General features: G+C 50.0%; 1 pseudogene, besides 4 other annotated features; it reads left to right on the top strand.

Annotated features, from left to right (window-relative positions):
* Positions 1,393–2,191: an enhancer, noted in NCBI's record as "H3K4me1 hESC enhancer chr14:103747748-103748546 (GRCh37/hg19 assembly coordinates)". NCBI's record gives its function as "activates a minimal SCP1, AML or CMV promoter by ChIP-STARR-seq in primed H9 embryonic stem cells {active_cell/tissue: H9 hESC(primed)}" and the evidence as "EXISTENCE:reporter gene assay evidence [ECO:0000049][PMID:30033119]".
* Positions 1,474–1,768: an enhancer, noted in NCBI's record as "tiled region #9453; K562 Activating DNase unmatched - State 12:CtcfO". NCBI's record gives its function as "activates a minimal TATA promoter and a strong SV40 promoter by Sharpr-MPRA in K562 cells {active_cell/tissue: K562}" and the evidence as "EXISTENCE:reporter gene assay evidence [ECO:0000049][PMID:27701403]".
* Positions 2,192–2,989: an enhancer, noted in NCBI's record as "H3K4me1 hESC enhancer chr14:103748547-103749344 (GRCh37/hg19 assembly coordinates)". NCBI's record gives its function as "activates a minimal SCP1, AML or CMV promoter by ChIP-STARR-seq in primed H9 embryonic stem cells {active_cell/tissue: H9 hESC(primed)}" and the evidence as "EXISTENCE:reporter gene assay evidence [ECO:0000049][PMID:30033119]".
* Positions 2,896–3,480, top strand: RPL17P4 (ribosomal protein L17 pseudogene 4; annotated as a pseudogene).
* Positions 7,116–7,919: an enhancer, noted in NCBI's record as "H3K4me1 hESC enhancer chr14:103753471-103754274 (GRCh37/hg19 assembly coordinates)". NCBI's record gives its function as "activates a minimal SCP1, AML or CMV promoter by ChIP-STARR-seq in naive H9 embryonic stem cells {active_cell/tissue: H9 hESC(naive)}" and the evidence as "EXISTENCE:reporter gene assay evidence [ECO:0000049][PMID:30033119]".

A 12,840-nucleotide genomic window follows, 5' to 3' on the forward strand; every position in this document is an offset into this window, starting at 1 on the left:
ATCGATTTCCTTATGCAGATTCTGCACTCGTAATTACTAAACGTGAGAGCCCAGGATGAACTATTCGGTGCATTTTTTATTTTTTTGAGACTGTCGCCAGGCTGGAGTTCAGTGGCGATCTCGGTGATCTCAGCTCACTGCAACCTCCGCCTCCCCGGTTCAAGCGATTATCCTGCCTCAGCCTCCCAAGTAGGTGGGACTACAGGCATGTGCCACCACGCCCGGCTAATTTTTGTATTTTTAGTAGAGACGGGGTTTCACCATGTTGGCCAAGATGGTCTCGATCTCTTGACCTCGTGATCCGCCTGCCTCGGCCTCCCGAAGTGCTGGGATTACAGGCGTGAGCCACGGTGCCTGGCCTATTGGGTGCATCTTAAAGCAGCGATATACAGGATAGTAAATGGAAACGGAAACGACTACTTCTGTATTTTAACTAACAACAGTGATTCATTCTGTTGGCAGTTTTTCTTCTTTAAAAGATGCCTTACTGCTTTAAGCCTGAATGGGCAGAATGTGCTTTCTTCAAATGCAATTTGTGGTATGTTTTTTTGAACTACCTGGTTCTGAGAATTACAGTTTGGATTTGGAGCACTTCGCCGAAGTTTAGATCTTAGTTCCATGAAGTTTCCATCTCATTTTCAGTGATGAATTGAGCAATCACTTTTTCCTTTCTGTGTGGTCCTAAATATAGTTACGACCTACTTAGCACAACCTTGCAATTGGATATGTGTCGCTGGCAAATTAATTTTATACCTAAAGTGAGCCCAGCGCTGGCTGTCAGTTTTGTAATTAACATCTGGTTGACTATGCTATGCACAGGAAAATGGAGCACAAATAAATTGTTTTTAAACTTTGCAATTCTTACCATTTGACTTTGTGAATCATATTTAAAGCACTATGTTCCAAGATTTCTAGATGCTGTCGGATGGCTTTACCATTATTTTTCAGGAGTTTGTTTGTTGTAGAGAAAACTCCAGGAGGTGAGAGGAGAGAAAGCACCCGGTTATGCAGCAGGCATTGCACCTGTGTTATTAGCGGCAGCTGCCTTCATACTTTGCCTGAATTCCTGGAATTTTTAAATAGTGAAATAGGTATGGAAACCTATGAAGAATAGGTCATCTTTTTGTTGATTTTTAGCGCAGCAACCTTTATCCAATTCTTTTTTTTTTTTTTTTTTTTTTTGAGACTTGCTCTGTTGCCTAGGCTGGAGTGCGGTGGCGCAATCTCGGCTCACTGCAACCTCCACCACCCGGATTCAAGCAATTCTCCTGCCTCGGCCTCCTGAGTAGCTGGGATTACAGGTGCCCGCCACCATGCCCAGCTAATTTTTCTATTTTTAGTAGAGACGAGGTTTTCCCGTGTTGGCCAGGCTGGTCTCAAACTCCTGACCTTGGGTGATCCACCTGCCTTGGCCTCCCAAAGTGCTGGGATTACAGGTGTGTGTCACCACGCCCAGCCCTGATAATTGTTTTTAAACGCAGTAAGTTTTATGACATTTTGGTTTGGGTGTTTCTTCGCCTTGGGTTGGATAGCTGTTCTAGGAAAACCAATTACTGCAGCTCACTCCGGCAAGGGAGGTGGGGGGTGCTGATCACATTTCCCTGCCTCAAGGGCAAGTTGTCCTCACCAAGCTGCTCCCTCCCTCTGCTGGAAAGGAAGCAAAACACCAGCTGCTTTCTGCTGTGCTCTGGGCTGTGTGGGGAAGTGCAGGGGCAGCAAATGGAAATCAGCAACATCTTGTTCCCAGTCCTGACACCCCTGGCCAGCAAGACCCTGCTGAGCCATGCTGGACAGGATGGGATGGGCCTCACGCAGATGCCACGGCTCTACCCTGCTCGGCTGCTGGCTTGTGGGAATGCTCCGGGAGAGCTCTGTGGCCTGGTCCCTCTGGATCTCAGCCTCCATCCAGGAAAAAGCACCCCATATTCTCTAAACAAGCCAGCTGCTCCTTTGAACTCCTGACGGCATCACACCCTCCCACTCCCATCCAGTTGCTCAGCGGTGAGCTGGCTGCCAGCTGCTGGACAGGCCGAAGGACAGGGCAGTCACCTTCTGCTCATGTGGGCATCTAAGCCACACCCACCCCTTTCCCCAACTTACACCATCTTTCCCTCTCTCTGTCTCTCTCTGTCTCTCTGCCTTTGTCTCTGTCTCCCCGCCCAGACACCTCCCTGCCTATGGGTGCACGCACACACCAGTGGCAGGCCCTGAAAGTGCTTCCTCATTGAGTCAAGATAGTAGATGGGAAGCCATGCCGGGTGAGAGGGCAGAGAATCGGGCCATCCTCAAAGACATGAAGATGCATTTCTATTTATTCATCTCCCACAGTATAAAAGAGGCTCATGGCAATGAGAGTGGACGGCCATAAACTTAACCAAGTGGTAGCCTCAGTCACAGCCGCTGCAGCAGAGGTGGCATCTACTGGAAGAGGTCCACCCTGGCTGGCGCTTGGCGGACGGCCAACCGAGCTAAAGAATGCAGGCCGGGCGTGGTGGCTCACGCCTGTAATCCCAGCATTTTGGGAGGCCGAGGCGGGCAGATCACCTGAGGTCGGGAGTTTGAGACCAGCCCGACCAACATGGAGAAACCCCATCTTTACTAAAAATACAAAATTAGCCAGGCGTGGTAGCGCATACCTGTAATCCCAGCTACTCGGGAGGCTGAGGCCAGAGAATCGCTTGAACCCAGGAGGTGGAGGTTGTGGTGAGCTGAGATCATAGCGCCATTGCACTCCAGCCTGGGTAACAAGAGCGAAGAGCAAAACTCCGTCTCAAAAAAAAAAAAAAAAAAAAAAGAATGCATCCACTCCCACTGGGGATGGAGGATGGAGGGTGTCTGCATTCACCTAGGACAGACAGACGTGCACATTTTTGGGTTCTCTCTTCCCCTAAACCTCCTGAGGTAATCTGTGAAAATGATTCGCTATTCACTTAACCCGGAAAACCCCACAAAATCATGCAAAGAGGTTCAAATCTTCGTGGTCACCTTGGAACACTTGTGAAACTGCCCAGGTCATCAGGGGTATGCATATATGAAAAGCCACTAAGGATCTGAAAGATGTCACTTTACAGAAGCAGTGTGTGCCATTCCAACGTTACAGTCAGGGAGTTGGTAGGTGTGCCCAGGCCAAGCAGTGGGGCTGGACACAACGTTGGTGGCCCCAGAAGAGTGCTGAATGCTTGCTGCATATGCTTAACAATGCAGAGAGCAATGCTGAACTGAAGGGTTTAGGTGTAGATTCTCTGGTCATTGAGCACCTCCAAGTGAACAAAGCACCTAAGATGTGCCACCAGACCTCCAGAGCTCATGGTGGGATTAACCCATACATGAGCTCTCCCTGTCGCATCGAAATGATCCTTACTGCGAAGGAACAAATTGTTCCTAAACCAGAAGATTGCCCACAAGAAAAAGATATCCCTGAGGAAACAAAAACTTATGGCACAGGAATAAATTCAGCACTAAAATAAATGCAATGAAGAGTTTTTTGTTTTTTAAAGTGCACTTCGTGATCTTGTTAACTACCCTGCTCTCGATCACTTCTTCTGAAGGAACTTTAAGGTTCTTGACACTCCACAGAACAGTGTGCGGGCTCCTGGTAGTGAAGACACCGTGTTAACCCATCTGATGGACAGGAAGTGCTGCTCCCGTGCCTGGTGATGGCAGGAAAGGAGCCGCTGCAGCAACTGTGGTCACCGGAAGCTTGGACCCTTCGAGGATAAAGGTCTGAGCCATCCCAGAAACCAACAGCCTAGCCCAGCTGCGTTGCCGTCCCAGAGTAAGGAGGGTCTAAAATGAGTGGTGAGGAAGGAGGTGAGGGACATTACTCACAGCCTTGAGATCAGCGCCAGGGTGGAGACTGTACTTAGACTTGTCCCGCCAACCCCACTGTGTATTTTTGTTTAGAGAGGGTGCAACCAGCCACCGAGGTGAAGAATCAGTCACAGGACAAGGTGGATGCGGGGCTGAGTGGATCCGAGTCGTGCAAGCAGCAGGCACAGAGTGGGCCTCTTGCCTCGGGAGCCTTTGTCTCTGCTGCTGGCATTCTCTGGGCAGAGCTGCCTGCTTGGCCAGGGCCGGAGAGCTTGCATCCCCAGGAACAGCCCACAGGAACCAGTGGCCATGTACCCCAGTTTCCTGAGCCTTGGTGGGGCGGTTCAGAGGGAGATCCTGACCTGATGCTTTTGAATCTCAGCAACCCTGAGGCCGAATCGCTCCTGCTGTTACTTGATTTGGTTGTGTAAACCAAAACTAAAATTCTAAGCCACCCGACGGACTGAATGGACCCACGGACCCCCTTCTTGGCCAAAGGGACTCAAAGAAACCTGAAAAATTAGTTCAGACCATGATGGGAAGGGAGGGGTCAGACACGCCTCGTTATAAGCCCTCCTGCCTTTGGAGTTCAGGCACAGCTGACCAGCATTACATTAAAACGGAGACCTTAAGATGGACAAACAGACTCTTTGCAGCAATAAGATACCAAAATTCCAACCTGACTCTAATATAGTGTCACATGACAGATAGCAGACCCTGAAGGAAATCAAAGTATTTACCCCAAAATATGTTTTTGACATGGTCCTGCACAGCTGCCTCTTGTGGGGGAAATTTGCCTTTTTAGAGAAACTCTTTCCCTTACTGGGTCTTTTCCAGAGAGCCTGATAATCTTTGAAAGGTCTCAACAGGAAGTATTTGCCATCTATTGCCTCTAAGGGCAGCCACCTATGAGACTCATCTACATAATAAAAACCTTGGTCTTCACAACCCCATACCTTATCTGAACCCAGACATTCCTTTCTACTGATTCCAGGTCTTTAGGCAATAACTTAACTCTTTCAACCAATTGCCAATCAGAGCCTTTGAAGCCACCTGTGATCCATAAGTCCCCTGCTTCAAATTGTCCTGGCTCTCCGACCCAACCACTGTATACCTCATATGTATTGACCGATGTCTTCTATCTCCCTGAAACTGAAACGTGTAAGGCCAAGCTGTAGACCAACCCCTTGGGGCACGTGTTCTCAGGAGTTCCTGAGGCTGACTCACAGGTCATGGCTCTCACATTTGGCTCTGAACAAATCTCTTCAAATATTTCACAGAATTTGGCTTTTTCTGTCAACAGTGGTGTGAGCAATTAAGTTCAAAGGGTAGCAACAACTCTATCCCCTTCAGTTTCTCTGAAACCTCTTTTGCTTCTGTAATAGGAAATGTTTATTTGAAAACGCAAGGAATGACGCACTTGATGTTGTGTATGTTGGAGCAAGCTGATGGCATAAAATGAGGAGTGGAGGACTATGTCCCAGGGTCTACTAGAATCTGTGCCCTCTAACCTGGAGGAAGATTTTCAGGACCCATACTTGGGGTCGTTCTGTCTTTACAGAACGTGTCCCAGGCGTGTATGGAAACACACTGGAAACAGAGATCACCTGTGTTTAGGCTCTGACTATATAGCTAGTCATGAAATTTCTCAGTGATAGGGTATAGATATATATGTTCAAATTCTCTAGGAGGCTGGGCACGGTGGCTCAAACCTGTAATCCCAGCACTTTGGGAGGCCAAGGCAGGTGGATCACCTGAAGTGAGAAGTTGGAGACCAGCCTGGCCAAGATGGTGAAACCCCGTCTCTACTAAAAATACAAAATTAGCCAGTTGTGGTGGCACACGCCTGTAGTCCCAGCTACTCAGGAGGCTAAGGCAGGAGAACCACTTGAACCCGGGAGGTGGAGGTTGCAGTGAGCCAAGATCGCACCACTGCACTCCAGCCTGGACAAAAAGAGTGAAACTCTGTCCTAAAAAAAATAAAATAAAATTATCTAGGAGACGCCAAGCTGTTCTCCAAAGTATTGTTCTAATTTACACTTTTATCAGCAGCAGAAGAAAGCTCATCGCTCTTCATCCCTGCCAGTTTACTCTTTTCTGACTTAAAATTCTTGCCACCCTGATGGGTTGGAAATGACATTTCATTTTGGTTAATTTGCATTTCCCTTATCACTAATGCAGTTGAGCATCTTTTTCATTCATTTATTTGCCATTTGTGCTATTTCTGTGCATCTCTGTTTATTTCTTTTGCCCATTTTTCTGTTTGGTTTTTTATCATTTTTATTGTGTCATAGGATTCTTAGGAAAGACAACATGTATAAAAATGTGTATGTCTTTTGTCAGTTATATGTATTACAAATATTTTTGCATAAGTGTACATTCCTTTTTGTAATGTAGTCAAATGTATCAACGCTTTCTGTTACAGTTTGCATTTTTGCCCTATTAAAGATATCCTTTCTCTAGAACCAGAAATACCATTCCACCCAGCAATCCCATTACTGGGTATATATGCAAAGGGTTATAAATCATTCTACTATAAAGACACACGCACAGGTATGTTTATTGCAGCACTATGTACAATAGCGAAGACTTGGAACCAACCCAAATGCCCATCAGAAGAATTTGGAGGCTACGGTTTCTAAAGGATGGTTTGACAGGTGGGGCTTAGGAAATGGAGAATGCTGATTGGTTGGTTCAGGGGTGAAATTGCAGGGTCCAGAGCTGTCTTCTTGCTCTGAGTCAATTCCTGGGTAGAGTCACAGGACTGGGTGAGTCCATTTCTTTGTATGGGTTATGGGTTTGGGCGGCACCAGCTGGTGCCTCAGAATGCAAGTTCTGAAAAATACCTCAAACACCAGTCTTTGGTTTTATCCTAATGATGTCATCTATAGAAGCAACTGAGGAAGTTACAAACTTGTGATCTCTGGCTACTTGACTCCAGAACCATAATTCTAACCTTGTGGCTAATTTGTTAACTTTACAAAGGTGGTTTTTGTCCCCAGGCAAGGAGGGGGTTCATTTCAGGAAGGAACCGTTATCATCTTTGTTCTAAAGTTAAACTATAAACTAAATTTCTCCCATAGTTAGCTTGGTCTACGCCCAGGAATGAGCAAAGATGGTTAGCTTGTGAGGGTAGAAGCAAAATGGAGCCAACTGTCAGGTTTCTCTCACCGTCATAATTTTTGCAAAGGTGGTTTTACCACTAGTCTCTAGTTTACATGGAGCTGATGGTGACAAGCCATAGCCTGGCAGGGGTGGGGGGCAGCTGCAAACTGTGTTCCTCCTTAACACTCGGCGTTGTGGCGGCTGTCCAGCTCCAATTCTGGATCCATTATGTGGCCTCCACCGAGATGACTGGCCTCTCTCAGCCTCAGTTTCTCCCTCCTCAGGAAAACGAGGGTGATAATGATAGCGCTTTCCTGGGGAGCATGAGGCAGGCAGCACAGGCAAAGCTCCATGCAGAATCAGCACTCAATTCAGCGACGGTGGTGGCAGGAGGGGTGCCATCCTCACTCTGTGCTGTGTGGCCCTGGGCTCCTTAGGCCCCTCTGGACTTTGTTTCCTCCTGATGTATCAAACACAGACTCAGCATCCCGACACCAGCTCCCAAGAGCGTCCAGGGAGTAGGCAGGGGTGAGGCAGCCCTGGGGCCCAGGGCATGTGAGGTTGTGCTGGGGGGAGGGCCTGGATGCCCTCCCTCTCTGTACTCACGGGGACGCTGTGGCGAGGTGAATAAGGGCCCCCAAAGGTATCAGTTCCTAATCCCTGGAACCTGTGTACGTTACCTTATATGGCAAAGTCTTTGCAGATGGGATTACATTAAGGATTTTAAAGTGGGAGGGGACCCTGGATCATCCAGGTGGGCCCTAAATCACTTGTATCCTTATGATGCAGGTAGAGGGTGGCTTGCACACAGAGCAGAGAAGGCGATGTGAAGATGAGGCAGAGATCGGGACTACACAGCCAAGAGCACCAGCAGCCGCCGAATCCGGAGGAGGTGGGGAAGAGGCAGGCTCTACCCTAGACCCCCAGGAGGGAGCGAAGCTCTGCCGACCCCTTGATTTCAGCCCATTGATACTGATTGCAGGTTCTGGCCTCTGAAACCGTGAGAGAAGACTTTTTTGTTGCTTTAAGCCACCAAGTTTGTGGTGACTTGTTATAGCAGACACAGGACCTAATACAGACACATGCTGTTCCCAGGAAACACCGTGGCCACCCCCAGGGCCAACACACACACACACACACACACACACACACATCCCCCAGGGCCTGGCCAGAAGAAAGAAGCCCCGCCCTATGGCCCCCCATCACACACAGACAGATCCCCTCTGTCCTCTGTAGGCTTGGCGTGCCCCAGGGAATACCCAAGCCTGACCTGCAGAGGGAAACTGAGGAGCTGGGCCAGGCCTCGGGGCATCTCCTGGGGCTGCTGCAGTCCTGAGTGCACCTCCCTGGCTCAGCCCCGCCCGGGGCCGCAGGGGCAGCTCCACCGGCCTCAACCCTAGCAGCCTCCTCCTGGGTCCCACTGACCCCAGGCTCTAAACAGCCTGTGGCTGTGGCTGCCTGGAGAACCTGGCGATGGGGGGTGCAGACTCCTCCCTTACCCTGGCTTCGTCCCTCCGTCAGTCTTGCTGACTCACAGACGCTTCTGTTCATTCTAGAGCAATTAATTGCATATCTCTTTTAGATACTGCAATTATCGTTGCCTTTTCTCATATCTCTTTCCGATTTGTTCCTGGTGTCCCTGGACAATAGCATCTTAGTTTCGATGTAATTTACAATGATTGTGGCCTTATGGATTATGCATTTGATACGACACTTGATCTTAGCCAGAAGCCCGAGAAGCAATGGGTTAGGCATTTGAATCCTGGTATAACAAGACCTTCTCTGCCTGTATCTTACAAAAATTCTTTTACATTTTCTTCTAGCTTCCTATTTTTACCTTTGACATTTGGAACTTTACTTTCTCTAGAGTCCTGCTTTGTATGTGAGGTTAAGTAAAGATCCATTATTTTCCCACTAAGTTAGAGATCCAGTCTTCTACACCAGGTGTTCCCAACACCCAGGCTGTGGACCAGTACCAGTCCATGGCCTGTTAGGACCCAGGCTGCACAGCAAGAGGTGGGTGGCAGGCGAGTGAGCATTCCCGCCTGAGCTCTGCCTCCTGTCAAATCAGATTCTCATAGGAGCACAAACCCCATTGTGAACTTCACATGTGAGGGATATAGGTTGAGTGCTTCTTTTGAGAATCTAATGCCTGATGATCTGAGGTGGGACAGTTTCATCCTGAAGCCATCCCCCACACCCTAGCAGTCATGGAAAAAATTGTCCTCCATGAAATCAGTCCCTGGTGCCAAAAAGGTTGGGGACTACTGTTCTACACCATTGCTTAAGAGGCTCACTGCTGGCCAGGTGCAGTGGCTCACGCCTGTAATCCCAGCACTTTGGGAGGCTAAGGCAGGTGGATCATGAGGCCAGGAGTTCAAGACCAGCCTGGCCAAGATGGTGAAACACCGTCTCTACTAAAAATACAAAAATTAGCCGGGCATGGTGGCAGGCACCTGTAATCCCAGCTACTCAGGAGGCTGAGGCAGGAGAATCACTTGAACCCGGGAGGTGGAGGTTGCAGTGAGCCAAGATCACACCACTGCACTCTAGCCTGGGTGACAGAGCAAGACTCCATCAAAAAAAAAAAAAAAAAGACTCATTCGTTGGCCAGGCACAGTGGCTCATATGTGTAATCCCAGCACTTTGGGAGGCCGAGGCAGGTGGATCACCTGAGATTAGGAGTTCGAGACCACCCTGGCCAATGTGGTGAAATCCCATCTCTACTAAAAATACAAAATTAGCCAGGCAAGGTGGTGGGTGCCTGTAATCCCAGCTACTAGGGAGGCTGAGGCAGGAGAATAGCTTGAACCTGGGAGGCAGAGGTTGCGGTGAGCCAAGATTGTGCCATTGCACTCCAGCCTGGGCAACGAGAGCGAAACTCCGTCTCAAAAAAAAAAAAAAAAAAGATTCACTCCTTGCCCATGGTGGGATCGTGTGATATTCTCACAATGCTCGCCCTGCTCCGGCCCCACCCCACTCTGCGGGTGGCTTGCTCCTGTTCCCAAAAGCTGCTCCTCCGAGGACGCTTCCTAGTGTGTCTTCACATCTGGGATTCCGCGTTTTCAGCTGGCTTAGCTATTTGTGGCTGTAGTCTTTCCTCCATTTTTAGAGTATTTACTGAGCTCATCAAAGAACCTGAGTGGTATATTGATAGGGAAGACTTTGACTTTGGATTTGTAGATGACTTGGGCAATATTGTCAGGATTCTGTTGACTCACCAGGAGCAGGGTGGGCACCGCAGCACTCTGGTTATGCAGCTGGCCTTGTAGGGGGTAAGCCCCCACCAGCAAAGTGAGTCCGTGGGAGCGGTAGGGTGTTGGGGCACCTGCACCCCTGAACCATCTCCCTGAGTGAGAACATGCCTCTCCAGGATGCTTTCACCACCAGGAACTAACCAGGTGGTCTTGAGACTGGTGAACTCCGTGGACCAAACAGAATCCAGGCTCCAAGCCTCTCCCTGGCAAGCCTCTTGCCTTTTGGTTCATGGCAGGAAGCAACACCTCATGTCATGCTGGGACTGCAGCCCAAGGCAGGAAAGCACCAGCCTTTCTTAGGACCCCATGGGTAGCCCCCAACTTCACCAGCCCCTTTCCTGTGATGTCTCCACACATCTCTTTGGCCAGAGTCCTGTCACAGCCCAGTCCCACAACGTGGACCTGGGAGGGGCTCCAGGGAGGGGTATGGAGGGGATGAGCCCTCTTGTCCACCCCAAAAGCCTGGTCACAGTGGGGACAGCAGCAGGTGCAGTCCAGCTCTGCCCATCTCCCAGCTAGAGCGGGAGGGAGGCACCACAGGGCTCCTCTAGTCCTGAGGAATGAGCATCCTCTGTCCTCCCAAGGCCCAGCCAGGCCAGCTGATATGTGCTGCCCGGGGGCCGGGGTGGGAGCCAACAAACTCCCCCTGACCAGCCACTGTCCAGTGGGAAGCTCTAGCCAGACCGTGCTTAGATCTAGGCAGCGGCTCCCCACAGACACAGGGCTCCAAGTAGCCACACTCCAGAGCCTCTCCAGGACTTCGAAGAGTTTCGCAAAAGTCTAGGGAGAGAAGGAGCACCAAAGCCTCCTTAGTCACAGCCTCTGGGCCTAATGCACTCCCTTCTGTGGCCAACCTCACCTACCCTGTCACCTCAGACTCAGAAGGAGGGCCGCAGAGCCACCTGGACCTGAGCTTCAATTCTCTTAAGGCTCTACCAGGGTGACCCTTCAGCGGAGAATCCAGAGTGGGGGCTGCATGTGAATGAAGCTCAATCATGGGGGGCTGCATCTGAAGCTCTCAAGCAATGGAGGCTGGATCTGAAACTGTCAATCACTGGGGGCTGCATGTGAAGCTGTCAATCACTGGGGGCTGTATCTGAAGCTCTCAATCAGTGGGGGCTGCTCTGGGGCTCTCAATCAATGGGGCTGCCTCTGAGGCTCTCAGTCAATAGGAGCTGCATCTGAGACTCAGTCAATAGGGCCTGCATCTGAGACTCTCAATCAATGAGGACTGCATCTAAGACTCTCAGTCAATAGGGGCTGCATCTGAGACTCAGTCAATGAGGACTGCATCTGAGAGTCAATCAATAGGGGTTGTGTCTGAGACTTAATCAATGGGAGCTGCCTCTGAGACTCTCAATCAATGGAGGCTGCGTGTGAAGCTCTCAATCAATGAGGGGTGCATCCGGGACTCTCAAGCAACGGGGGGTACATCTGAGACTCTCAAGCAATGGGGGCTGCACGTGAAGCTCTCAATCAATGGGGGTGCATCTGAGACACTCAAGCAATGGGGGCTGCATGTGAAGCTCTCAATGGAGGCTGCATCTGGGGCTCTCAATCAATGGAGGCTGATTCTGAAGCTCTCAATCAATGGGGGCCGCATCTGAATCTCTCAATCAATGGAGGCTGCATCTGAAGCTGTCACTCAGTGGGGGCTCCATGTGAACCTCTCAGTCAATGGGGGCTGCATCTGAGACTCTCAATCAATGCGGGCTGCATTTGAGATTTCAATCAATAGGGGCTGCATCTGAGAGTAATTCAGGGTTGTGTCTGAGAATCAGTGCGGACTGCCTCTGAGACTTTCAGTCATTGGGGGCTGCATCTTAGACTTTCAATCAACAGGGGCTGCATCTGAGACTTTCAAGCAATGGGGGCTACACGTGAAGCTCTCAATCAATGGGGGATGCATCTGAGACTCTCAACCAGTGGGGGGTGCATCTGAGACACTCAAGCAATGGGGGCTGCATGTGAAGCTCTCAATGGAGGCTGCATCTGGGGCTCTCAATCAATGGAGGCTGATTCTGAAGTTTTCAATCAATGGGGGCCACATCTGAATCTCTCAATCAATGGAGGCTGCATCTGAAGCTGTCACTCAGTGGGGGCTCCGTGTGAACCTCTCAGTCAATGGGGGCTGCATCTGAGACTCTCTATCAATGGGGGCTGCATCTGAGACTATCAATGGGGGCTGCTCTGGAGCTCTCAATGGGGCTTCCTCTGGGGCTCTCAGTCTATGGGGCTGCATCTGAGACTGCCAATCAATGGAGGCTGCAGTTGAGACTTCAATCAATAGGGGCTGCATCTGAGAGTCATTGAGGGTTGTGTCTGGGAATCAGTGGGGACTGCCTCTGAGACTCTCAGTCAATGGGGGCTGCACCTGAGACTTTCAATCAACAGGGGCTGCATCTGAGACTCAATCAATAGGGGCTGCATCTGAGACTCTCGATCAATGGGGGCTGCATCTGAGACTCTCTATCAGTGGGGCTGCCTCTGGGGCTCTCAGTCTATGGGGGCTGCATCTGAGAGTCAATCAACAGGGGCTGCATCTGAAACTTAATCAATGGGAGCTGCCTCTGAGACTCTCAATCAATGGGGACTGCATGTGAAGCTCTCAATCAGTGGAGGCTGCACCTGGGGATCTCAACCAATAGGGGCTGCATCTGAGACTCAA

This window comes from Homo sapiens, chromosome 14 (assembly GCF_000001405.40).
Source record: "Homo sapiens chromosome 14, GRCh38.p14 Primary Assembly".
Taxonomy (NCBI): domain Eukaryota; kingdom Metazoa; phylum Chordata; class Mammalia; order Primates; family Hominidae; genus Homo; species Homo sapiens.